The sequence below is a fragment of the Homo sapiens genome, chromosome 3 (genome assembly GCF_000001405.40).
Source record: "Homo sapiens chromosome 3, GRCh38.p14 Primary Assembly".
NCBI lineage: Eukaryota > Metazoa > Chordata > Mammalia > Primates > Hominidae > Homo > Homo sapiens.
Genome location: NC_000003.12, coordinates 48,491,843 through 48,517,449, shown reverse-complemented (window position 1 = coordinate 48,517,449; position 25,607 = coordinate 48,491,843). Strand labels below are relative to the sequence as shown.

The 25,607-nt window shown below is 49.8% G+C and overlaps 1 protein-coding gene across 5 annotated transcripts in view, besides 4 other annotated features; it reads left to right on the top strand.

Annotated features, from left to right (window-relative positions):
• Nucleotides 6,107-6,307: a silencer, noted in NCBI's record as "peak4641 fragment used in MPRA reporter construct". NCBI's record gives its function as "represses an SCP1 promoter by STARR-seq MPRAs in K562 erythroleukemia cells {active_cell/tissue: K562}" and the evidence as "EXISTENCE:reporter gene assay evidence [ECO:0000049][PMID:32103011]".
• Nucleotides 12,191-12,744: an enhancer, noted in NCBI's record as "H3K27ac-H3K4me1 hESC enhancer chr3:48542139-48542692 (GRCh37/hg19 assembly coordinates)". NCBI's record gives its function as "activates a minimal SCP1, AML or CMV promoter by ChIP-STARR-seq in naive H9 embryonic stem cells {active_cell/tissue: H9 hESC(naive)}" and the evidence as "EXISTENCE:reporter gene assay evidence [ECO:0000049][PMID:30033119]".
• Nucleotides 12,640-25,607, top strand: part of SHISA5 (shisa family member 5) — a 36,935-nt gene continuing 23,967 nt past the window's right edge. The window contains exons 1-3 of one of the 5 annotated variants that reach the window (NM_001272068.2): nt 13,276-13,729; nt 14,257-14,355; nt 16,157-16,313. In NM_001272068.2, coding sequence (NP_001258997.1) covers nt 16,174-16,313 — 140 coding nt within the window. In that variant the 5' untranslated portion in view covers nt 13,276-13,729; nt 14,257-14,355; nt 16,157-16,173. Of the gene's footprint in view, nt 13,028-13,275; nt 13,730-14,256; nt 14,356-16,156; nt 16,314-25,607 lie in introns of those variants that run through there. The other 4 variants (NM_001272066.2, NM_001272067.2, NM_001272065.3 and 1 more) reach the window with 4 other exon arrangements.
• Nucleotides 13,082-13,561: a silencer, noted in NCBI's record as "silent region_14333". NCBI's record gives its function as "represses an Ori minimal core promoter by ATAC-STARR-seq in GM12878 lymphoblastoid cells {active_cell/tissue: GM12878}" and the evidence as "EXISTENCE:reporter gene assay evidence [ECO:0000049][PMID:35858748]".
• Nucleotides 13,572-13,621: a silencer, noted in NCBI's record as "silent region_14332". NCBI's record gives its function as "represses an Ori minimal core promoter by ATAC-STARR-seq in GM12878 lymphoblastoid cells {active_cell/tissue: GM12878}" and the evidence as "EXISTENCE:reporter gene assay evidence [ECO:0000049][PMID:35858748]".

Here is a 25,607-nt window from a genome sequence, read left to right as displayed (position 1 = left end):
GGGCCCTTGGCCCTGAACATGAGGCAGATGTGGAGGGGGCAGTGCAGCTGGAGTGGAGCACTGTTAAGGGAAGGATTCTGGGGTCCCTGGGAATGTGGGCTCCAAATGCGGCATTCTTGGGGAGGAGGCCCCGGGAGCTGGGTCAAGGATGTAGTGGCTGCGTGAGGCTGTGGTGACAGTATGCTGACCAGTGTTTTGGTATTTTCTTTTTCTTTTTTTATTTTTATTTTTTGGAGACGGAGTTTCACTCTTGTTGGCCAGGCTGGAGTGCAATGGCACGATCTTGGCTCACCACGACCTCCGCCTCGGGTTCAAGCAATTCTCCTGCCTCAGCCTCCCCGAGCAGCTGGGATTACAGGCATGCACCATCATACCCAGCTAGTTTTTATATTTTTAGTGGAGACAGGGTTTTTCCATGTTGGTCAGGCTTGTCTTGAACTCCCAACCTTAGGTGATGCACCCGCCTTGGCCTCCCAAAGTGCTGGGATTACAGGCGTGAACCACTGCACCCGGCCTATTCTGGTATTGTCTTTGTCACCTGCATCTGGGGTCGGGAAGGTGGAGACAAGGGGCTGGGTGTTCTCTTTCCCATGCCTCAGAACATCATGGGCTGTCCATACTTCCTGCCCTGGAGCTGGCTTTCCGGGAAGTGGGTTGTAGGCGGGGCTCCTCTGTGGGCAAGATGGGGCAGGGCATTGCCGGGTGTTCGCCTGTGCTCCTCCCAGTGTGTCAGGGCAGAGGATGGCTGTCGCTGGGCTGCTTCTGGGTGGTTTGGGGTGGCCAGCAGCTATGTTTCTGCCTTCTCCAACTATGCCAAGGTGTCTGAGGGAGAGGCAACTTTGCAGGATTCAGGTGGTGACTAACCTCTGCCTGGTGAGAGCCTGGGGGACAGCTTCGGGGGTCCTCACCTGTCTCTTGGCTCTGAGTTCCTAGGGTGGACACCTGACTCCCTTTGAGGCTTCTCAGCACTTTTGGAAGAAGGTTTTGAAGATTTTAGTAGAAAACAATAAAAGGAATGAAATATAACAATATCAGAGTTTTTCTTCAGGTCCAGTGTTGTACCATAACCTAGAAAGGGCAATTATATTATTATGTTGAGTAGCATTTTGGGTTACTGGGAAATAATAGCCATCATATAGGGTCACAGGATATTTGTTTTTTATTTTATTTTATTTTTTTGAGACGGAGTTTCACTCTTGTTGCCCAGGCTGGAGTGCAATGGCGTGATCTCCGCTCACTGCAACCTGCCCCTCCTGAGTTCAAGCAATTCTCCTACCTCAGCCTCCCAAGTAGCTGGGATTACAGGCATGCGCCACCATGCCCAGCTAATTTTGTATTTTTAGTAGAGATGGGGTTTCTTCATGTTGTTCAGGCTTGTCTAGAACTCCTGACCTCAGGTGATCTGCCCGCCTTGGCCGCCCAAAGTGCTGTGATTACAGGCGTGAGCCACTGCACCTGGCTATTTTCATTTTTTCTTACACCAATAAGAATGAGCTTGAAAGGATCAGATAATATTTGGATAGAATCAAATATTGTTGCAAAGACATAGGTAGGTTTCAGCAATATTGGATTTATATCTAAAAATATATATATAATACTTCTTACTTGCAGAGAAGAGTGTTGCCATATTTGGTTTAGACTGATCATTACTGGGTACATTATTGTTTAAACGAAACTATTTTATCTTATTTTTGTAAAAACGGGGTCTTGCACCGAACACAGTAGTTCACACCTGTAATCCCAGTGCTTTAAGAGGCCGAGGTGGGAGAGTTGTGTGAGCCCAGGAGTTTGAGACCAGCCTGGGGAGCATAATGAGACCCTATCTCTACAAAAAAAATTTTCAAATGACTAAGTGTGGTGGCACGTGTCTACAGTCCTAGCTACTTGGGAGGCTGAGACAAGAGAATACTTGAGCCCAGAAGTTGGAGGTTGCAGTGAGCCGGGGTCAGGCCACTGCAACCTGGGCGACAAAATAAGACCCTCTCTCAAAGGCAAAAACAAAAACAGGATCTTGCTCTGTAGCTCTGGCTGGTTATGAACTCATGACCAAGCGATCCTCCTGCCTCAGCCTCCTGAGTAGCTGGGATTACAAGCACGTACCACTGTATTGGCAAAACTATTTTATTAAAAGTGAAAAATGAGGTGGGGTACAGCGGCTCATGGCTGTAATCATTTGAGATTAGCCTGGGCAGCATAATGAGACCTTGTCTCTACAAAAAGATCAAAAACTTAGCTGGGCATGGTGGTGCGTGCCTGTAATCCCAGCTACTCAGGAGTCTGAGGGGGGGAGGACCGCTTGAGCCCAGTAAGTTGAGGCTGCAGTGAGCTATGATTTTGCCACTGCACTCCAGCATGAGTGACAGAGCGAGACTCTGTCTCAAAAAACAGAAAAGTGAAAAATGGCTTTGTGGTAGACCACAAGTATATCTGCCACACCTGGCTTGTGGCCACAGGTCTCTTTGGGGAGATTGTGAGGAAAATGCCAGGATGAATCTGTGCTGTTTTTACAGGGCCCTCCTTAAGGGTGCATGCCCCACCTCGTTCAGGGGCCCCTGAGTTTGCAAACTGATTTTTATCTAGAAAATTGGTGAGGGTTTCCTCTCTGTTGCAGTAGAGTCTCTGTCAGTTGGACCTCACACTCTCTTGTTATATAGGTGGGACTCTACTGGCCTCTCCATCTATTTTGGTACTAGGGGTCTGGTGATCGGGTCCCTATTGCTAAAGATTCCTGCAGGTTGCTAAAGATCCCTCCAGGTCTGACCATTCAGATAACCTGTAAATCCTGCATTCCCAGTCTGTGCTCCTCTCTCTCCTCTGGCAGCTCAACACTGCTGCTTGACCCTTGTCACCCCAGACTCCTTGTATCTGCATTGAAATCAAGGAGCTGGCTTGGTGCGGTGGCTCACGCCTGTAATCTCAGCACTTTGGGAGGCTGAGGTGGGTGGATCATTTGAGGTCAGGAGTTTGAGACCAGCCTAGCCAACACGGTGAAACCCTGTCTCTACTAAAAATACAAAAAAATTATCTGGGCCTGGTGGTGCATGCCTATAATCCTAGCTACTGGTGGAGGCTGAGGCAGGAGAATTGCTTGAACCCGGGAGGTGGAGGTTGCGGTGAGCCAAGATCGCGCCATTGCACTCCAGCCTGGGTGACAGAGTGAGACTCCGCCTCAAAAAAAAAAAAGCAATCAAGGAGCCATTTCAACTCTAGTGTCTCCCACTAGAATCCCTAACCTATGGAGAAGAGTCTAGAACCCCTAACCTATGGAGAAGAGTCTAGAACCCCTAACCTATGGAGAAGAGTGACCATGGTGCTTACTATGCACCCCCCACCAATTTATATGTTGAAGTTCTAACCCCTAGTACTTCAGAATGTGACCTTATGTGGAAATAAGGTCATTGCAGATGTAATAAGTTAAGACAAAGTTAGACTGCAGTAGGATGGCCCCTAATCTAATATAACCTAGTGTCTTCAGAGAGAACATTGGCCTGCGAACACCCTGATCTCAGACTTCTAACCCCTGGAACTGTGAAACAATACATTTTCTGTTGTTTTAGACACTCAATTTGTGGGACTTTGTCATGGTAGCCATAGCAAACTAAAACTAAAACTTTTTAAAGATGCACCCCTCAGCAATGAATTTCCCAAGGCTTTGGGGAAAGGAGTATCTTCTGAATCTTCAATCCCTTCAATCCAGGAGATTGGTTAGGGAAAAGATGAGTTGTCCATGACAAATTCAGTCCAACATTTATTCATTTATATATTTATGTATGTATTTATTATTATTATTATTATTATTATTATTATTATTTTTTTTTTTTTTGAGATGGAGTTTCACTCTTGTTTCCCCTTGGCTCACCACAACCTCCGCCTCCCAGGTTCAAGTGATTCTCCTGTCTCAGCCTCCTGAGTAGCTGGGATTACAGGTGCGTGCCACCACACCTGGCTAATTTTTGTATTTTTAGTAGAGACAGGGTTTCATCATATTGGTCAGGCTGGTCTCGAACTCCTAACATCAGGTGATCCACCCACCTCAGCCTCCCAAAGTGCTGGGATTACAGGCATGAGCCACTGCACCCAGCCTGTGTGTATTTATTTTTTGAGATGGAGTCTTGCTCTCCTGAGTAGCTGGGATTACAGGCACCCGCCATCATGCCCAGCTACTTTTTGTATTTTTGTAGGGATGGGGTTTCACCATGTTGGCCAGTCTGATCTTGAACTCCTGACCTCAGGTGATCCACCTGCTTCGGCCTCCCAAAATGCTGGGATTACAGGCGCGGGCCACCGCGCCCGGCCTCAACATTTATTTTGAATGAATAAAAATAAATACATCTTCTTAAGGCTTTGGATTCTTTCCTCTGTGTTATATCAGGGAACTTTTGGCACCTTAACTGCATTGAGTGGGATCCAGTTTTGTTGTGGAGTCTCGCTCTGTCGCCTAGGCTGGAGTGCAGTGGAGCAATCTCGGCTCACTGCAAGCTCCGCCTCCCGGGTTCACGCCATGCTCTTGCCTCAGCCTCTGGAGTAGCTGGGACTACAGTCGCCCGCCACCACACCTGGCTAATTTTTTTGTGTTTTTAGTAGAGACGGGATTTCACTGTGTTAGCCAGGATGGTCTCGATCTCCTGACCTCGTGATCCGCCCGCCTCGGCCTCCCAAAGTGCTGGGATTACAGGAGTGAGCCACCGCGCCCGGCTGGGATCCAGTTTTTATTCAGCCAACCAAATAGACGTGTGGAACAACCCCCAACAGCTTGAGCTGGTGCATGGAATCCAAATCCTTGCTAAGTGCACCCATATTGATAAATTCAGCCCAATATAAACTTATGTTCTTATCTCCTTGGTCTAGGACTTCAGTCTGTTCCCACACATATTCTCTATATTTTGGCCAACATAAAATAACAGTCTTGCAACTCTTTTGATATGTGAGCCTCCTGCTCTGGGCTTGACTTTGTGAAAGGGTCTCCAGACATGCTGAAATATCTCTCTAGTTAAAAGCTCTGGAAATCATAAGGAATTGGGAGGAGGGGCCATGAGAAGAGTTAGCTTCCTCTTACAGGGTAACTCCTTCATGATGTCCATGGTGTCTTTCAGGGGAGGACACATTGCTTCAGCAGGCAAAGGAGGTGCAGAAGAGGCTAGGGGTTGGTGGGGATCTAATTCCTCTGAATTCTTTCATGTATCTTCATTCCACTTCAGTCATTAATTTCATACTTGTGGGGGTTCTTTGCATTTTTTGTGTTTGTTTTTGAGAGAGTTACATTCTGTTCCCCAGGCCAGAGTGCAGTGATGTGATCTCAGCTTACTGCAGCCTCAACCTCCTGGGTTCAGGTGATCCTCCCACCTCAGCCTCCCTGGTAGCTGGACTACAGGTGCACACCACCACAACCAGCTAATTTTTTTTTCTTTTTGTAGAGGTGGGGTTTTGCCATGTTGCCCAGGCTGGTCACGAACTCCTCGGTGGAAACAATCTGCCCACCTCAGCCTCCCAAAGTGTTGGGATTACAGTTGTGAGCCACTGCACCCCGCCTGTTTTTTTTTTTTTTTTTTTTTTTTTATTTAAAATATTGTTTTTGTAGCGATGGGGGTCTCACTTTGTTGCCCAGGCTGGCCTCAAACCCACGGCCTCAAGTGATCCTCCCACCTTGGCCTCACAAAGTACTCAGAATACAGGCATAAGCCACAATGCCTAGCTGATTCAGCACATTTATTAAGTGCCCACCATGTGCCAAGCAGTGGGGATACAGGAGTAAGCACTACCCTGCTGTCAGAGAGAGAATGTTCTAGTGGTAGGAGATACAGTAAGCAAATAAGTAAAACACAGAGTATATAGGGTGCTGGGATGGAGGGAACGGGCATGGGAGGGGGTTGCAAGCAGGCCTCACTGAGAAGGTGACCAAAGGCTGAAGGAGGCCATGGAGCATCCCATAGCCAATGCAAAGGCTCTGAGTGTGGCTATGCCCAGTCAAAAAACACAGAAGAGGCTGGTGGGGCTGGAGAAGAGAGACGAGGAGGAGGAAGACCAGGTCAGAGAGGTCATGGGATACAGAATATGTGGGGCCTTGGAAATGGGGGGCCCGGGAAAGGGTTTTGAGCAGAGTGACTTGATCTGATAAACGTTTAAAAAGAACTCCTCTGGCTGCTGCAGAATCAAGACTCGATCTGAAATGGGGCTGAGTGGAAGCCAGGTCACTTATCTGGAGGCTGCTGCAATGTGAGAGACAATGAGCTCCTGATGGAGCTGCCGAGAAGTGGTTGGATTCTGCATATACTTTTCAGGTAGAGCCAAGTTTGGCTGACGATTTGGATGAAGGCATGTGAGAGAGAGATAATCCCAAGGTCTGGAGTTGCCACTTATGGACATGTGGAAGCCCGTGGGGGAAGCAAGCTGTGGATTGGGGTTGGCAGTTGAAGGTGGGTTCAAAATGTAATGCCCGGTCCAGCACAGTAGTCAGGTCTGTAATCCCAGCATTTTGGGAGGCTGAGGCGGGTGGATCACCTGAGGTCAGGAGTTCGAGACCAGCCTGACCAATATGGTGAAACCCCATCTCTACTAAAAATACAAAAATTAGTTGGGCATGATGGCGTGTGCCTGTAGTCCCAGCTATTTGGGAGGCTGAGGCAGGAGAATCACTTGAACCCCAGGAGGCGGAGGTTGCAGTGAGCCAAGATCACACCACTGCACTCCAGCCTGGGCAGCAGAGTGAGACTCCATCTCAAAAAAAAAAAAAAAAAAAAAAAAAAAAGTGCAGCTTGAGAAGCAGCAGTGTGAGGAGTGTGTGATGGAAGCGGGAGTGTCCCACCCTGTCACTGAAGCTGGAGGGTCAGGGAAGGTAGACAGAGAACTGACCACTGGATGTAGACATGCGTGTGGGCTCCAGTTTCCCAGGGGCATGCTTTGTCCTGATCAGTGCCTAACTTTCACAGGAAAAACTGAGTGAGCCTGGTCAACAATGAAAGGAAAATAACGACTGGGCGCGGTGGCTCACGCCTGTAATCCCAGCACTTTGAGAGGCTGAGGTGGGCGGATCGCAAGGTCAGGAGTTTGAGACCAGCCTGACCAACATGGTGAAACCCTGTCTCTACTAAAAATACAAAAATTAGCTGGGCGTGGTGGTTCGTGCCTGTAATCCCAGCTACTCAGAAGGCTGAGGCAGAAGAATAGCTTGAACCCAGGAGGCGGAGGTTGCAGTTAGCCGAGATCGTGCCACTGCACTCCAGCCTGGCGACAGAGTGAGACTCCGTCTCAAAAAACAAAAAACAAAAAACAAAAAACAAAAAAAAAGAAAAAGACTGAGTGAGGCTGTGATTCAACCAGTATTTTAATCTGGAACACACAGAATCAGCCCTTGGGTTAGATATTGAGCCATCTCAGCCCCATGGCTGCAAGAGGCTCATTTTAGCAGAGTTGAAAAAGTTTTCAGTTTGTGCCTTGTTGCAAGCAGCTAACAACTTGACCTCATCATGCCATTCTCTTTCTTTAAGCTGTTTGGTGCCATTAGAAGCAACCACCACTCATTGTAATTTTCTCTTTTAACAAGCCAAATGAAGCTATGCACAGGGCAAGGTATGAGGGGAGGGGGCACAGAGCTTCCATGTCGTCTCCGAGCACACCAATCTTCCCTGCACCTCAATGTGTTCTCCAACCCAGAAGCTCCCAAACCCCACTATTTAATGATTTTTATGGAGGTTTCATTACAAAGGCATGGTTGATTAAATCATTGGCTATTGGTGATTGAACTCAATCTCTAGCCTCCCTCCGTTCCCCAGAGTTTGGGAGATGTGACTCAAAGTTCCAAAACTCTTATCCTTATTTGGTCTTTCTCTTTCTTTTCTTTTCTTTTCTTTTCTTTTTTTTTTTTTTTTTGGAGACAGAGTTTCACTCTTGTTGCCCAGGCTGGAGTGCAATGGTGCGATCTTGCCTCACCGCAACCTCCGCCTCCCGGGTTCAGGTGATTCTCCTGCCTCAGCCTCCGGAGTAGCTGGGATTACAGGCATGCACCTCCACGCCTGGCTAATTTTTTGCATTTTTAGTAGAGATAGGATTTCTCCATGGCTTGTCTTGAACTGCCAACCTCAGGTGACCCGCCTGCCTCTGCCTCCCAAAGTGCTGGGATTACAGGCGTGAGCCACTGGGCCTGGCAACTTATTTGGTCTTTCAGGCCAATATCGTGAAGCTATCTAGTGGCCCTCTGCTAGGAGTCATCTCATTTGCATCAGAAGGATGGTAAATTCTAAGGGGTTAAGGAGTTCTGTGTGAGGAATGGAGAACTAAAACTAAATATTTAGTTTTTTATCATGCAACACCACCAGCAGTGACTTTACCAGCTCGGTCTCCTCTGCCTGCCACAAGTTGCCAGAGCCCTTTCCTTCCTCAGGCCTGGACTTCCACTGCTTTTAGCTCCAACCAGGCAGATGACAAGTCGGACACCCCCATTTCCCTGGGCATCTGCTACCATTCCTGATGGGGACTAATTTTTTAAAAAAAATTATTTATTTTTTATTTCTCTCTTTCTCTCTGTCTCCCCTTTTTTTATTTTTTTATTTTTTGACAGAGTCTTACTCTGTTACCCAGGCTGGAGTGCAGTGGCACGATCTTGGCTCACTGCAACCTCCACCTCCCAGATTCAGGTGATTCTCATGCCTCAGCCTCCCCAGTAGCTGGGATTACAGGCATGCACCACCACACCCAGCTAATTTTTGTATTTTTAGTAGAGACGGGGTTTCGCCATGTTGGCTAGACTGGTCTGGAACTCCTGACCTCAAGTGATCTGTCCGTTTCAGCCCCCCAAAGTGCTGGGATTACAGGCGTGAGTCACAACGCCCAGCCTAGTTTTCTCTTTTTTTTTTTTTTTTTTTGAAGCAGTCTCGCTCTGTTACCCAGGCTGGAGTGCAGTGGTGCGATCTCGGCTCACTGCAACCTCCGCCTCCTTGGTTCAAGTGATTCTCCCACCTCAGCCTCCTGAGCAGCTGGGATTATAGGTGCACGCCACCACGCCTGGCTAATTTTTTTTGTATGTTTAGTAGAGATGGAGTTTCGCCATGTTGGCCAGGCTAGTCTTGAACTCCTGACCTCAGGTTATCCACCCGCCTCGGCCTCCCAAAGTGCTGGGATTACAGGCTTGAGCCACCTTGTCCAGATGTTTTCTTTTTTTTTTTAGGTTTTTTTTTTTTGAGACAGAGTCTTGCTCTGTTGCCCAGTCTGGAGTGCAGTAGTGCAATCTTAGCTCACTGTAACCTCTGCCTCCTGGGCTCAAGCAATCCTCCCTTGTAGCTGGGAATACAGGCACGCATCACCATGCCCAGCTAATTTTTGTATTTTTTGTAGAGACGGGGTTTTGTCATGTTGCCCAGGCTAGTCTCAAACTCCGCGCTCAAGAGGTATCTGCCTACCTCTGCCTCCCAAAGTGCTGGTATTACAGGCATGAGTCACCACGGTGCCCGGCCCTGGTGAGAACTTCTCTGTCAGTTGGAGGAAACTGACTCTGCCCAACTTAATCAGAAACCCAATTTATGAAAAGCAACTGTGGAGCCCTCAGAGCCAACAAGGCGGCTGGAAAGAAAGGTTCCAAGTCGAAGCAGTATCGTCTCCAGCCCAAACCACAGTGCTACTTTGGCCTGGTGAGCATGCCACTGCTCCTGCCACGAGGGGGAAGCAGGGGCCTTTGTGACTCACACAGCCCTCCCCACAGGTGCAGACTCATGTTTCTGCCAGGACTGCTGCAGCCCTCCATCAAAGCTGGTGGCCAGTACCCCTGACTGACTCCAGGGAGGCTACATCTGATTGGTTGGGGCTGGGCAAAAGCTCTTGCCCTGGGGCAAAGGAATCTGAAAAAGATAATATCTAGCGTGTTCCTCCTCTGATGTGGAGGAAAGGGGACCAGGTGCTGAATGAAGAAGAATGGCAAGGATCCTTGAGCAAGCGTTCCACTGTAGAACTCACCGATCTGGTCCTGCAGTCAGTCCTGGGGCTGGGCTGATGGCCTCATTCTCACCTGGTTACTCTCACCCTGGGCTTTACAAGCATCAGTGGGTGTTGCTTTGCTCCACCAGCCTGATGCAGAGTTCTCACCTACAAACTGTAACCAAGGTCCCAGCAGAACACAGTCATTCTTAACAAACTGGGTATTTGAGGAGAGTTTGATAAAAGTGCTGTTGCACTTTGGGAGGCTGAGGCGGGCAGATTGCTTGAGCCCAGGAGTTCGAGACCAGCCTGGGAAACATGGCAAAAACCCTACTTCTACAAAAAATACAAAAATTAGCTGGGCGTGGTGGTGTGCATCTGTGGTCCCAGTTACTCCAAAGGTTGAGGTGGGAGGATCACCCCAGTTTCCTGGGGAAATTGGGGCCGCAGTGAGCCGTGACTGCACTCCAGCCTGGGTGACAGTGAGACCTTGTCTCAAAAAAAAAAAAAAAAATTGCTGTTTACAGAGCTGTAGGAAGGTTTGGGGAGCCACCTAGCTTTGGTACAGCATCTGGGCCAAGTCCTAGCCTTGGTACAGCATCTGGGCCAAGTTTGGTTTCTGCCTTGGAGGGGTCACTTTCCCCAGGCAACTTGTATTTCCAGGCTTTGCAAGCCTGAGCTGCAGAGACAAAACTCCTCAGACACCGAGTTAAAGAAGGAAGGGGTTTATTTGGCCGGGGGCATCGGCAAGACTCCTGTCTCAAGAGCAGAGTCCCCCGAGTGAGCAATTCCTGTCCCTTTTAAGAGGGTGCTCGTGAGAGGGTCGTGATCGATTGAGCAAGCAGGGGGTACGTGACTGGGGGCTGCATGCACCAGTAATTAGGTCAGAACAAAACAGGATAGGGATTTTCACAGTGCTTTTCTATACAATGTCTGTAATCTATAGATAACATAACTGATTAGGTCAGGGGTCGATCTTTAACTACCAGACCCAGGGTGTGGCGCCGGGCTGTCTGCTTGTGGATTTCATTTCTGCCTTTTAGTTTTTACTTTTTCTTTCTTTGGAGGCAGAAATGGGGCATAAGACAATATGAGGGGTGGTCTCCTCCCTTAGACCCACAGAAAATGCCTGCACACATGGGCACATGCCTGTGAGATGCATGGTTGCGATTTCCAAGCCACTGGGGTGATCCTAGCCTCCACTCACTCCTGCCCATGCACAGCCCTGGGTGGAGCCCAAAACACCCACCAAGCTCAACCATGAGCTGTGGGCAGATAAGAGGGTATGGGAGAGCCAAAGACCAAAAAAGTAGGGAGGAAGAGGCCAGGTGAGAGGCCCCTAAAGGATCTGGGGTTGGGGGCAGCAGAGTAGAGAAGCCAAAGGCAAGCATAGGAGGTGGGAAAGGACAATTCTTTTTTTTTTCATTTTTTTTTTTCGAGATGGAGTCTTGCTCTGTCACCCAGGTTGGAGTGCAATGGCGCGATCTTGGCTCACCACAACCTCTGCCTCCCGAGTTCAAGCGATTCTCCTGCCTCAGCCTCCTGAGTGGCTGGTATTACAGGCATGCACCACCACACCTGGCTAATTTTGTATTTTTAGTAGAGACGGGGCTCTACTGAACATGGAGATGTTGGTCCATGTCTATCCAACATGGAGATGTTGGTCAGGCTGGTCTCAAACTCCCAACCTCAGGTGATCTGCCTGCCTCTGCCTCCCAAAGTGCTGGGATTACAGGTGTGAGCCACTGCACCAGGCCTTGTTTTTCTATTTTTGAGACAGGGTCTTGCTCTGTTGCCCAGACTGGAGTGCAGTGGCACAATCATAACTGCAACCTTCATCTCCTGGGCTCAAATGATCCTCCCACCTCAGCCTCCCAAGTAGCTGAGACCACAGGTGCTTGCTACCATACCCAGCTAATTTTAAAATTTTCTGTAGATATGGGGTCTCCTTATGTTGCCCAGGCTTAGAACAACTCTTAGGAGCTTGGCTGGGGGGCAGGGACTGGAAAACCAAGGAACAAGAAACCAAGCTTGTGGATGGTGCAGAGTGGAATGAGCAACCTTTAGGGAGGCAGAGGGCTGGGCACCCAGGGTGTGGAACACAGGATGGCTCTAGAGCTGGACATGAGGAGCATACACTGGCCATTCTGCAGAAGGGGGACCTAGGCTGCACCCAGCTTTGGAGAGTGGCGCTCAGGAGGCAGAGGTGGGATAACCAGGCTGGGCTGTCAGGGAGGATGTGACTCCAGTCCCTCACTAAGACCCTCCCAGAGGGCATCCTGCCTGGGAACTGTCATATCCCTGCCCCCCACATGTGTATTGAGCACGGTGAGTCTTAAGCCCTTCTTGGCCAGGAGGTGATGGGGGCTTATTGGAGACCCAGGCCTTCCTCTCCCTGTTCTAACACCCTAGCCTGGGAAACTACTGGGAACATCCCAGATTGTCCCCTTGGGTTTCTCTTTGTCCACAGCGATGCCCCCACCTTTAGGTGAGAAATATATGGTGGCACACAGGGTGCACAACCCAGCCTGGGTGCCCCACTAGTGTGACATTTCACGTTTTCTGTCTTGAGTGAAATGTTCTGATTGTGCTAGGTGCAGAGTGGGGGTGGGTCAGGAACTCTGGGCATAAAAGGAAGAATGACTCAACATCCCTGATTCTGCCTGGACCCCTGCCCCGAAGTGAGGGGGCGGAGCCCTGTGTGGGAAGTTGGCCTGGCTGTGTGCCCTGGGAGCTGCCAGTTTCTAGCTCAGTCCTGGCCCACTGCGCCAGCGCTGAGCCTGCCAGGGCTGGGGCTGGGGATCACCTTGGGATGATGGTGTCAGTCCCAGGGGGCAGGAGATCGAGTGTCCTCTGAGCTGGCGACTGGGCCTGTAGAAGGGAACCGGCATTTGTGGAGTGTCTACTGAGTGCCAAGGTCTGCGCTGGGCACTGTCCTCGCACCGCCTCACCTAGTCCTCACGTAGCCCTCGGGCAAGTGAGGATCCGCCGGGACTGCGGCTGGGAGGGATGGCTGTGGCTGTCCCCCAGCCCACACAGTAGGCGCTCAGTGTCAGGGTGCATATTCCCGGGGACGCCCTCCAGGCCTGAGAGCTGGGGGCCGCCGCCGCCCCCCATGCATCCGGTGAGCAGAAGGAAACTCCGTGCGTCGCCCGGCGCCTGTCCGAGTCTGGGAACCGGTACCAAGTTTTCGCGCAGACCCCGGGCGCGAAGCTGGCCCCGAGGCTGGGAAGTCGTCCGCTTCCTTCCTTCCTCCTCCTTCCACCTTCCTCCCTCCTCCCTCCTCCCTCCTCCTCCCTCCTCCTCCTCCTGCTCCCCCGGACAGAGGTTCCGGGAACCAGCCGGGCCGGGGCGGGGCGGGGCGAGGGAGAGGGGCGGCCGCGCGGATCACTGAGGCTGTGGCGGCACTGCGCCCGGCGCTCGCGTCCGTCCGCCCGTCCGCCCGCCCAGCCATGACTGCGCCGGTCCCCGCGCCGCGGATCCTGTTGCCGTTGCTGTTGCTGCTGCTGCTAACGCCGCCTCCGGGTGGTGAGCCGGGGGTGGGGGCGGCCCGTCCTGCCCTGGGACCGGGCAGACACTTCCCCGCGCTGCCTCTCCAACGAGCCGGGCAGCACCAGCCCCACTATGCCCCCCACTGACCCCTGATTGCCCCGAGGCCGTCAGCGAACCCCCACGACTGCGGACCCCTCCTCCACCCCAGCACCCTCCTTGCCTGAACAACCCTGCCTAGACACCAGGCAGCTGCCACCTTTGTCTGTCCTGGAACGGTGGGGAGGGGTCTGCCCTCCCGCCCATGTTCCAGGGGATGGAGTCCCCAGAGGCTAGGGTAGGGTTCCCTGCCTGGCTTTAGTCTGGCGGGTGGCTGCAGGGCGAGCTGGCCCCTCCATCAGAGGCCTTCCCTCTTTGCCTCTGTTTAATGTCTGGGAGCCCCCACCGCTGCCTCCGTTGGCCCTTGTGTTCCTGTAGAGCCCGGCGCTGAGGCTGGCCTCTGGGGTGGAGACACCACTGTGTGTGTTGGTTGCAGATAGGTGATTCACAGAGTCTGGAAGGCTGGCTGGGGGCGGGTCCTTTAAAGGGTTAGGAATTGGAACAATCCCCTGCCCACCCATGGGAAGCCAAAGACCCTTTTGGGGTGGGTGGCTTCGTGGAGGGGAAGGCTGTATTTCCTGGGGGCTGGGATGAATCCAGAGGACCTGGGCTAGAGAAATGAGAAAGGGGAGACTTGTGCCCAGAATCCGCCCACTCCTGGAGTGAGCCTGTAGGAGGGTCGGTCACTGATTCAGTGAGGTCTGGGGGTCAGAGAGCATTTGTGCCATGGACTCAGCCTAAACAGCCTCACCGGTGTGTCTTCAGCCCTAGCTCAGAGGCTCAGATTGGGCTGTGAAGACCTTGCTGCATATGGGTTCACCTGAGCCACCAGGCACGGGCCATGCTGATGATACCAGCTTTCAGGTGGGCAGCTGGCCAAACTGGGCTTGTCAATGGTCCAATCCTCTGCTCCATGGCTTTGCCCAGAGCAGGGTTCTGCCTGGAGCTGCCAAGAAGTGCAGTTCCCCCCAACTCCCCACTAAAGTTCCCTCTTCCCAAGGAGGTCACTTGGTGTCTCTGTCTCTGGGCTTCACTCTACTGACAGCCTCGGGGTGTGTGGTGTCCTGATCAGGCCCGGGCACCAGATGCTGCACATGGCCAGGTGCCTGGCCTGGCTGGGTCTCCAGAGGCCACGTGCTATGGCAGACTGTTTCCAGGCCGATGTAGTTATGCCTCAGGGCTATCATCAGACCTGTCCCCTGCCTACTGCGGACTTGTGGGCCTTGCTGGACTAGGTATTCTCTTTGGAGTCTGCCCTGGCAGAATCCGGTACTGTTCCTTCCTGTTAGTGGGCACAGGTCTCTGCTAATGTAGCCTGAGGATACATGGGAACATTTGACTGTAGCATCTTCCTGGAGGTTTGTAAACCTTGTGGTCATCCAAAAACCTGGGTTATTTTCCACATTTGTTGTCAGCCAGATCCCCTCAGCATGACCTCGTTTATTGAGACTTGTAAGGATGTCAGTAGATCCCAACTCTGTGCTGAGAGTCTTGTGATGGCTCCAGGGCTACAGATGGTGCCACTGCCTTGGAGCCCTGTTGCCCAGGCTGGTCTCAAACTCCTGGAAGGCACAGACATTTCCTGGACACCTGCTGCAGGCCCAGCGCGGGGCTAAGTGCTTTATGAACGCTGGTATGGTGGGTGTGACAATTTCTGACCAGGATCTAGCCTGCCATCATGGTTATGGGGTGGTCTGTGAGAGCCAGGCCCCTGCAGTTGTGGTGCCCAGCAGGGGCTGAGGTTGCTGTGGTTGAGTGAGGGAGAGAGTGAACGAGGATTAAGAACTAGACAGTCTGGCTGGGGTGCGGTGGCTCATGCCTGTAATTTCAGCACTTTGGAGGCCAAGATGGGTGGATCACCTGAGGTCAGGAGTTCAAGACCAGCCTGGCCAACATGGCGAAACTCTGTCTGTACTAAAAAATACAAAAAATTAGCTGGGCCTGGTGGCAGGCACCTGTAATCCCAGCTACTCGGGAAGCTGAGGCAGGAAAATTGCTTGGATCTGGGAGGCAGAGATTGCAGTGAGCTGAGATCGCACCACTGCACTCCAGCCTGGGCAACAGAGTGAGACTCTGTCTCAAAAAAAAAAAAAAAAAAGAAAGAAAGGGACAGTCCAGTGTCTGGTCCCCTGCAGGTGTTGAGCTGTGTGACTTCTCGCCTGGGCAGCTTCTGGAGGAGGCCACCTGGAGTAGGGCCTTGAAGGATGAGTAGAGTTGAAAGGCAGGAGATAGGAACCAGGCAAGAATGTGAGCGGAGTGTGGACAGGTTGGAGAGCTGGAGTGATCTTCAGGACTCTGCAGTTTAGACCCTGCTTGGAAACTCGGGCCTTGATCCTGAAGCAGTGGGAATTAGGGGAGGTTTGAGAGCAGGGTGTGGCCCCATCAGACTCACATTGAGAAAGTTCACCCTCCTATCAGGAGGCCAGTGCACTGGTGAGGGAGAGAGGGAGCCCAGTTAGGGCAGCTCTGTTGTGGCCCGTGGGATAGGGCAAGGCTGAGGGGGAGCAGTGGCCAGGGGTCAGAAGGTGGCCTGTGGCTAGGGTGGCTCAGAGACGGTGCAGCATGTGTGTGTGTGTGTGGTCTGGTGGCTGTGCCAGGGAGGGCGCTGTGTCTGCTGGGGCCTGGCCCGTGGGCACAGGTGAACAGATGTGTTTCTCCTCTCCAGCACGTGGTGAGGTGTGTATGGCTTCCCGTGGACTCAGCCTCTTCCCCGAGTCCTGTCCAGATTTCTGCTGTGGTACCTGTGATGACCAATACTGCTGCTCTGACGTGCTGAAGAAATTTGTGTGGAGCGAGGAAAGGTGTGCTGTGCCTGAGGCCAGGTGGGTGCACCAGTGGGTCACAGGGTGGGTGGCTTGAGCCTGTGCCCCACAGGAGAGTATGTGGAAGAGAGATAGCTCTGCCCCTCTGGCCTCTCAGCCCTCTCAAGATGGTGGCCAGAGCATTGGAGCAGAGGGTTTAGGGATCCCCTGTTCTGGGCTGGACCCCCTAGACCTGCTCAGTTAGTCCCCTGTCCATCTCCTCCCTACCCTGAGGGCTCCAGCTTGCTGAGCCTTGGGCTGAGCAGGTTTCTTAGAGGTCCTTGGCCTCAGCTGGTCCTGTGACTCACCCCGGGTGTGTACCTGTGCCAAGATGTCCTCAGGGTGGGTACTTGGGCTTGACTATACCCCACAGTATGCGCATGCCCCTGAGGGGTATCCTTTGTTCAGAACCCGCTTGTGGAGCCTGTAGGGTGCAGTGCGTAAGCATGTGCCCCAGTGTGAGCTCTATCTGTGTCCTCCCAGCGCAGCCTATGAATTTACCTGCATGTTGGGTGTAGACTGTTTCATGGCTGGGACCAAGGTTCCAGGCCCCTGTGTGTGGCTCTTTGCCGTATTCTGTATTTCCTTTGTGTTTGGCCTCGGTGTAGAGGGTTGAGATGGTCATACTCCTCTGCTCATGGCAGGTGATCATCCTGGGTCTGGGCAAGACCAACCCCCGCTATCTTACATATTTATTTTTGTGAGATGGAGTCTCACCATGTTGCCCAGGCTGGTCTCATACTCCTGGGCTCAAGCCATCCTCCTCCCTCAGCCTCCTGAGTAGCTGGAACTATAGGTGTGCACCACCATGCCTGGCCTATATATTTACTTTAATATGTCAGGACCATTTCATTCCTTTCCCACCCCACAGGCAACCGTCTGCTATGGTCTGCTATGTATAAGGTACATCCTTTTCATTATTTGAGTTCTTGCAAAGTCGGTGTAGTGTAAGACCTAGCCACATTGCTGTGGCACATCTGGCCCTTGCCCACTACTGCTGTGTCCCTCTGAATGGTGTGAATCCACAATGGTTGTCATGATAGATAGCTTCAGTGGGCATCTGGTATACCTCCTTTTATGGAGCTGTGTAAGAATTCTCTTGGAAACACATCTGGTTGTGGAGTTGCCATGTCATAGATGCACACAGTTATCCACTAAGGACTTCCAGGTGCTCTTGGGAGTGGTGCACAGGGCTGCACACCTGTCAGTCCTGCCTGAGGGTTCCTGACAGGTCTTCTTCTACCCTTTCACCCTTTCACTTCACCTTTTGGCTTTTTTTTTTTTTTTTTTTTTGAGACGGAGTCTCACTTCTGTTGCCCAGGTTGGAGTGCAATAATGTGATCTCGGCTCACCGCAACCTCCGCCTCCCGGGTTCAAGCAATTCTCCTGCCTCAGCCTCCCGAGTAGCTGGGATTATAGGCGTGCACCACCACACCTGGCTAATTTTTGTATTTTTGTATTTTTTTTTTTTTAGACAGAGTCTCGCTCTGTCACCCAGGCTGCAGGCTGGAATGTGGTGGTGCGATCTTGGCTCACTGCAAGCTCCGCCTCCCAGGTTCACGCCATTCTCCTACCTCAGCCTCCCAAGTAGCTGGAACTACAGGCGCCCGCCACCACGCCCGGCCTAATTTTTGTATTTTTACTAGAGATGGGGTTTCACCATGTTCACCAAGCTGGTCTTGAACTCCTGACCTCAGGTGATCTGCCCATCTTGGCCTGCCAAAGTGCTGGGATAACAGGCATGAGCCACCGCGCCTGATGGTATTTCTTTTTTTAAAAGCAGGAGCATTTATTCCATTTAAATTTAATGTAGAGGGCCGGGGGTTGCTGTGGCTCATGCCTGTAAGCCCAGTACTTTGGGAAGCTGAGGTAGGAGGATCACTTGAACCTAGCAGGTTGAGACTGCAGTAAGTCGTGATTGGTGCCACTGCACTCCAGCCTGGGCAACAGAGTGAGACCTCGACTCAAAAATAAATTAATTAATTAATTTAATGTAGTTATTGATATTCTGGGGTTATATTTGCATCTTTTGTGCTATTTGTCTCTCCTGCATTATCTTTTTTTTTTTTTTTTTTGAGATGGAGTTTCGTTCTTGTTGCCCAGGCTGGAGTGCAATGGTGTGTTCTTGGCTCACCACAACCTCCACCTCCTGAGTTCAAACAATTCTCCTGCCTCAGCCTCCTGAGTAGCTGGGATTACAGGCATGTGCCACCACGCCCGGCTAATTTTGTATTTTTTAGTAGAGACAGGGTTTCACCGTGTTGGCCAGGCTGGTCTTGAACTCCCGACCTCAGGTGATCCTCCTGCCTCGGCCTCCCAAAGTGCTGGGATTACAGGCGTGAGCCACCGCGCCCGTATGCATTATCCTTTTTTTACTTCCTGTATTGTTTCGATTTGTTTTTACGCCATATTTTTCTTCGACTGTTACTTCTTCTTTTCCATTCTGTCTTTTTTTTTTTTTTTTTTTTCTTTCTGGAGACAGTCTGTGTCTCCCAGGCTGGAGTGCAGTGGCGCGTGATCTCATCTCACGGCAACCTCCACCTGCCAGGTTCAAGCAATTATCCTGCCTCAGCTTCCCATGTAGCTGGGACCACAAGTGCATGCTGCCACGCCTGGCTAATTTTTTGTATTTTAGTAGAGACAGGGTTTCACTGTGTTGCCCAGGTTGGTCTCGAACTACTGAGCTCAGGCAATCTGTCTGCCTCGGACTCCCAAAGTGCTAGAATTACAGGCATGAGCCACTGCCCCCAGCCTTCTTTCCTATTCTGAATGTCTTATTTCTTTTTCTTGCCTTATTGTGTTGGCTAGGCCCTCAGTTACAATGTTGAGTAGAAGTGGAGAAAGCAGACATCTGTGTCTTGTTTCCGAGTTTAGGGGGAAGACATTCAGTTTTTCACTAGTAGGAAGGATGTCAGCTGTGGCTTTTTCATAGGTGTCCTTTATCAGGTTGAGGAAGTTCTCTGCATTTCTAGTACACCTAGAGTTTTAATTATGGATGGATGTTGAATTATGTCAAATGCTTTTTGTGCATTTGTAGAGATGACTGTATGATTTTAAAATTTTTATTCTGTTAATATGGTAAATTATATTACTCTCTAAAACACTATTTTATGTGAGTATAGAGCTTAGGTTGATGGTTATTTTTTCTTAGCATATTGAAGCTTCCATTCTACTGTCTCCCGGCTTCCATTGTTTCTGTTGAGACATCAACTCAACAGCCAGTGTCTCTCATTGAAAGAAATCTCTCTCTCTCTCTTCTTTTTTTTTTTTGAGACAGTCTCACTCTGTTGCCCAGGCTGGAGTGCAGTGGTGCAGTCACTGGCTCATGTCACTCTCAGCCTCCTGGGCTGAAGCATATCCTCCTACCTCAGCTTTCCAAGTAGCTGGGATTACAGGTGCCTGCCACCATGCCTGGCTAATTTTGTTTACTTTTTGTAGAGACAGGGTCTCCCTATGTTGCCCAGGCTTGTCTTAAACTCCTGGGCTCAAGTGATCCTCCCACCTCGACCTCCCAAAGTGCTGAGATTACAGGTGCACCTAGCTGAAATCCCTCTTTTTTTTTAACCCTCCGATTGCTTTTTAAGATTGTTTTTTTCTGGCCGGGTGCGGTGGCTCACACCTGTAATCCCAGCACTTTGGGAGGCTGAGGCGGGTGGGTCACGAGGTCAGGAGATCAAGACCTGCCTGGCCAAGATGGGGAAACCCCATCTCTACTAAAAATACAAAAATTAGCTGGGCATGGTGGTGGGTGCCTGTAATCCCAGCTACTCAGGAGCCTGAGGCAGAGAATTGCTTGAACCCAGGAGGCGGAGGTTGCAGTGAGCCAAGATCATGCCACTGCACTCCAGCCTGGGTGACAGAGCGAGACTCCGTCAAAAAAAAAAAAAAAAAAAAACTTGTTCTGGAAGCCTTAAGACCGTTAACCCCACAAGAAGTAGCAAGACAGACAGCAGACTGGAGAACAATGGCATGATCTCGGCTCACTGCAACCTCTGCCTCCTGGGTTCAAGTGATTCCCCTGCCTCAGCCTCCAGAGTAGCTGGAATTACAGGTGCCTGCCACCACACCCAGCTAAGTTTTTTGTATTTTTAATAGAGATGGGGTTTCACCAGATTACCCAGGCTGGTCTCAAACTCTTGGCCTCAGGTGATCCACCCGCCTCAGCCTCCCAAAGTGCTGGGATCACAGGTGTGAGCCACCACACCTGGCCATTTCTGTGGAATTGACATTTTACTATATTGAGTTTTCCAATGCATTAACATGGTATTTCTGCTCTTGTATTTAGTTTTCTTTCCTTCTCTCTCAATTTTCTATTATATAATATTTTTTCTATTTCAAAGTCTTATATATGTTTCATTTTTTCCTTTGTTTTTTTTTATGGTATTATAAATAGTGTAGTTTAAATTTCTTTTCTTTTTTTTTTTGAGACGAAGTCTAGCTCTTGTCCCCAGATTGGAGTGTGATGGCGTGATCACGGCTTACTGCAACCTCTGCCTCCCGGGTTCAAGCGATTCTACTGCCTCAGCCTCCCAAGTAGCTGGGATTACAGGGGCCTGCCACCTCGCCCAGCTAAATTTTTTTGTATTTTTAGTAGAGACGGGGTTTCATCATGTTGGCCAGGCTGGTCTCGAGCTCCCGACCTCAGGTGATCCATCCGCCTCAGCCTCCCATGTAGCCGGGACTACAGGCACCTGCCACCACGCCTGGCTAATTTTTTGTATTATTTTTAGTAGAGACGGGGTTTCACCATGTTAGCCAGGATGGTCTCGATCTCCTGACCTTGTGAACCACCTGCCTCGGCCTCCCAAAGTGCTGGGATTACAGGCATGAGCCACTGCACCCGGCCTAATTTTTGTATTTTTTTTTTTGACGGAGTCGCACTCTGTTGCCCAGGCTGGAGTACAGTGGCACAATCTCGGCTCACTGCAACCTCCGCTTCCCGGGTTCAAGTGATTCTCCTGCCTCAGCCTCTTGAGTAGCTGGGATTACAGGGGAACGCCTCCATGCCCAGCTAATCTTTGCATTTTTTTTTTTTAGCAGAGATGGGGTTTCACCATGTTGGCCAGGCTGGTCTCGAACGCCTGACCTTGTGATCCGCCTGCCTCGGCCTCCCAAAGTGCTGGGATTACAGGCTTGAGCCACTGCGCCCGGCCTAATTTTTGTATTTTTAGTTGAGATGGGGTTTTACCATGTTGGTTAGTCTGCTCTTGAACTCCTGACCTCAAGTGATCTGCCCTCCTTGGCCTCCCAAAGTTCTGGGATTACAGGTGTGAGCCACTGCACCCGGCCACAATTTTTATTTTCTAATTGTTTATTGATACATAAATGTGGAAAACTGTTTGGGTGTGGTGGCTCACGCCTGTAATCCCAACACTTTGGAAGGCTGAGGTGGGCAGATCACGAGGTCTGGAGTTCGAGATCAGGCTGGCCAACACAGTGAAACCCTGTCTCTACTAAAAAATACAAAAATTAGCCAGGCGTGGTGGCATGCACCTGTAGTCTTAGCCACTTGGGAGGGTGAGGCATGAGAATGGCTTGAACCCAGGAGGCGGAGGTTGCAGTGAGCTGATATTGTGTCACTGTACTCTAGCCTGGGCAACAGAGAGAGAGACTCCATCCCTGCCCCCGAAAAAAGTGGAAAAAAAAACTCAGAGTGCTTCTTCTATTCTCTCACACCAGAACAATCAACACAAGATTTCTGTGACCAAATGTATGGGAGTTTCTCCCCACCCACTGAACAAGCAATCAATTTTTTTTTTTTTTTGAGCCACTTCACTCCAGCCTGGGTGACAGAGCGAGACTCCCTCTCTATTAAAAAAAAAAAAAAAGCGTCGTAAAAGGAACATATTTTTTCTGGGTATGTATCTAGGAGTGGAATTACTAAGTTATTATGTGAATGTGTTCAGTTTAGGCAGATAACTTCCAAACAGCTTTCCAACATGTTATAAATGTGCCATTTGTACTCCCACCAGCCATATGTGAGGGTTCCAGTTTGCTCTACATCCTCTTCAAAACTTGGATTATAAATCTTTTTCAAAATATTGAGATATAGGCTAGGTGGAGTGGCTCACACCTGTAATCCCAGCACTTTGGGAGGCTGAGGTAGGAGGATCGCTTGAGCCCAGGAGTTGGAGGCTAGCCTGGGCAACATAGCAAGACTCAGTCTCTAAAAAGAAAAAAAAATAGATATATAATTACATACAGTAAAATGCACAGATCTTTCATGTTTCAGTTTGATGAGTTTTAACAGATGTATACATTTCATGTATACAACATGCTAGACCAGATATAAATCATTGTCATGGAAAAAAGTAGGAGGGTCCCCCAAAAATTAAAAATAGAGCTACCATGTGCATATGATCCAGCCATCCCATCACTGCGTATATATCCAAAGGATATGAAATCCATACCCCAAAGAGATACCTGCTCTCCCTTGTTCATTGCAGCATTATCACAATAGCCAAAGTATGCAATCAATCTACCTGTCCATCAGGATAAATGGATAAAGAAAATGTGGTATATGTACACAGCGAAATACTATTCAGCCTTAAAAAGAAGGAAATTGGCTGGGTGCAGTGGCTCACGCCTGTAATCCCAGCACTTTGGGAGGCCAAGGGGGGGTGGATCACGAGGTCAGGAGATCGAGACCATCCTGGCCAACATGGTGAAACCACGTTTCTACTAAAAATACAAAAATTAGCTGGTGGTGGTGCACGCCTGTAATCCCAGCTACTCTGGAGGCTGAGGCAGGAGAATCCCTTGAACTCGGGAGGCGGAGGTTGCAGTGAGCTGAGATCATGCCACTGCACTCTAGCCTGGCAACAGAGTGAAACTCCATCTCAAAAAAAAAAAAAAAAAGGAAATCCAGAAATCCTGTCATTTATGATGACATGGATGTACCTGGAGAACATTATGTTAAGTGAAATAAGCTAGGCGCAGAAAGACAAATACAGCACCATCTCACTTATATGTGGAGTGTCAAAGTCAAACTCATAGAAACAGAATAAAATGGTGGTAACCGGAGACTAGGAGGTGGCAGGATTAGGGAGATGTTGGTCAAAGGACACAAAATTTCACTTAGGAGGAGTAAGTTCAAGAGATCTATTGTACATCATAATGGTGACTATAGTTTATAATAATATGTTGTATACTTGAAAATTGCTAAGGAAGTAGATTTTGAGTGTTCTCACCACAAAAAAAGGTAAGTACGTGAAGTAATGCATATGCTAATTACCTCAATTTAGCCATTCAATATATACATATTTCAAAACATCATTTTTGTACGCTATAAATATATACAATTTTTGTCAGTTAAAAAAGAAATCGGATGGGTGCAGTGGCTGATGCCTGTAATCCCAGCACTTTGGGAGGCTGAGGCGGGTGGATCACATGAGGTCAGGAGTTCAAGACCAGTCTGGGCAACATGGTGAAACCCCATCTCTACTAAAAAATAGAAAAATTAGCCGGGTGTGGTGGCACACACCTGTAATCCCAGCTACTCAGGAGGCTGAGGCAGGGAGAATCGCTTGAACCCGGTGGGCAGAGGTTGCAGTGAGCCGAGATTGTGCCACTGCACTTCAGCCGGGATGACAGAGCCGCCTCTGTCTCAAAAAAAAAAAAAAAAAAAAAAAAAAGAATAGATCATGGCCATTTCTAAGGAATTTATTTATTTATTTAATTTATTAATTTATTCATTTATTTTCCAAGATAGGGTCTCACTCTGTCACCCAGGCTGTAGTGCAGTGGCACAGTCTCAGCTCACTGCAGCGGCACAGTCTCAGCTCACTGCAGCCTCTACCTCCTGGGCTCAAGCCATCCTCTGACCTCAGCCTACCGAGCAGCTGGGATTACAGGCATGCGCCATGGTGCATGGCTAATTTTTGTTTATTTTTGTAGAGAAGGGGTCTTACTATGTTGCCCAGGCTGGTCCTGACCTCCTGGGCTCAAGTGATCAGCCCACCTTGGCCTCCCAAAGTGCTAGGATTACAGGTGTAAGCCACTGCACCCAGCCGAAAGTTTAATTTTAGCAATTTTGGTGGTTGTGTTGTAATACCCCATTGTGCCGTTTTCAAGATTTCAGTACATTTTATGGCCCAGCATATCCTTAGTGAAACATGAGGAAAGTTTCATGTGTTTTAGTCCATTCAGACTGCTTTTAGGAAATACTGTAGATTGTGTGGCTTAAACAACAAACATTTCTCACAGTCCTAGAGGCAGGAGGTTTAAGATCAGGGTGCTGGCATGATCCTGGTGAGGGCCTTCTTCCTGGTTATGTCCTCACGTGGCCTTTCCCTGTTTGTGGAGGCTGAAAACAACTCCATCTTGGATGCTAATCTGCCCATGTTGACTTCTGATTAACCCCAGTTCTGGGAATGCCTCTAATGCCTTTCACATACTTACCATAAATCCTGCCCTTAGACCAATTCCCTGTGGTTTATAAGCCCAGGATCTGAGGTTAAGAAGTCCCTATTAAATGTTTCTGAGAAACTGGATTTGTCAGCCTCTTTCTTCAGCTTCTCAGCTTCCTTGGGCGAAGGCTTGTACAGACCTGCTCACCTCCGAACATTGGTGCATGCATGCAGAGAGAAATCGAATTTCTCTTCCTCTTTTTATAAGGACACTAATCCCATCCTGGCAGCTTCACCCTCATGATCTCATCTAAACCTAATTACCTCTTTTTTTTCTTATGAGACGGAGTCTCGCTCTTTCACCCAGGCGGGACTGCAGTGGCCCGATCTCGGCTCACTGCAAGCTCCGCCTCCCGGGTTCACGCCATTCTCCTGCCTCAGCCTCTTGAGTAGCTGGGACTACAGGCGCCCGCCACCGCGCCCGGCTAATTTTTTGTATTTTTAGTAGAGACAGGGTTTCACCGTGTTTGCCAGGATGGTCTTGATCTCCTGACCTCGTGATCCGCCCGCCTCGGCCTCCCAAAGTGCTGGGATTACAGGCGTGAGCCACCGCGCCTGGCCTTTTTTTTTTTTTTTTTTTTTTTTTTTTTTTTTTTTTTGAGATGGAGTCTTGCTCTGTTCCCGGCTGGAGTGGAGTGGCACAATCTCAGCTCACTGCAACCTCCACACCCTGAGCAGTCTTAACTCATTCCAGCATCAACTACTCTTAACTCTAAAGTGCAAAGCCTTGTTCACATATTATCAAAATCAGATATGAATGAGACCATAGGTACATTTCATCCTGAGGCAAAATTTATCTCCAGTTGTGAAACCTGTGAAGCCAGAAATGCATTTGTGGGACAGGCAAAGGATAGCCACCCCTATTACAAAAGGGAGAGAAATCAGTAGGAAGTGTAGCCAGGGCAAC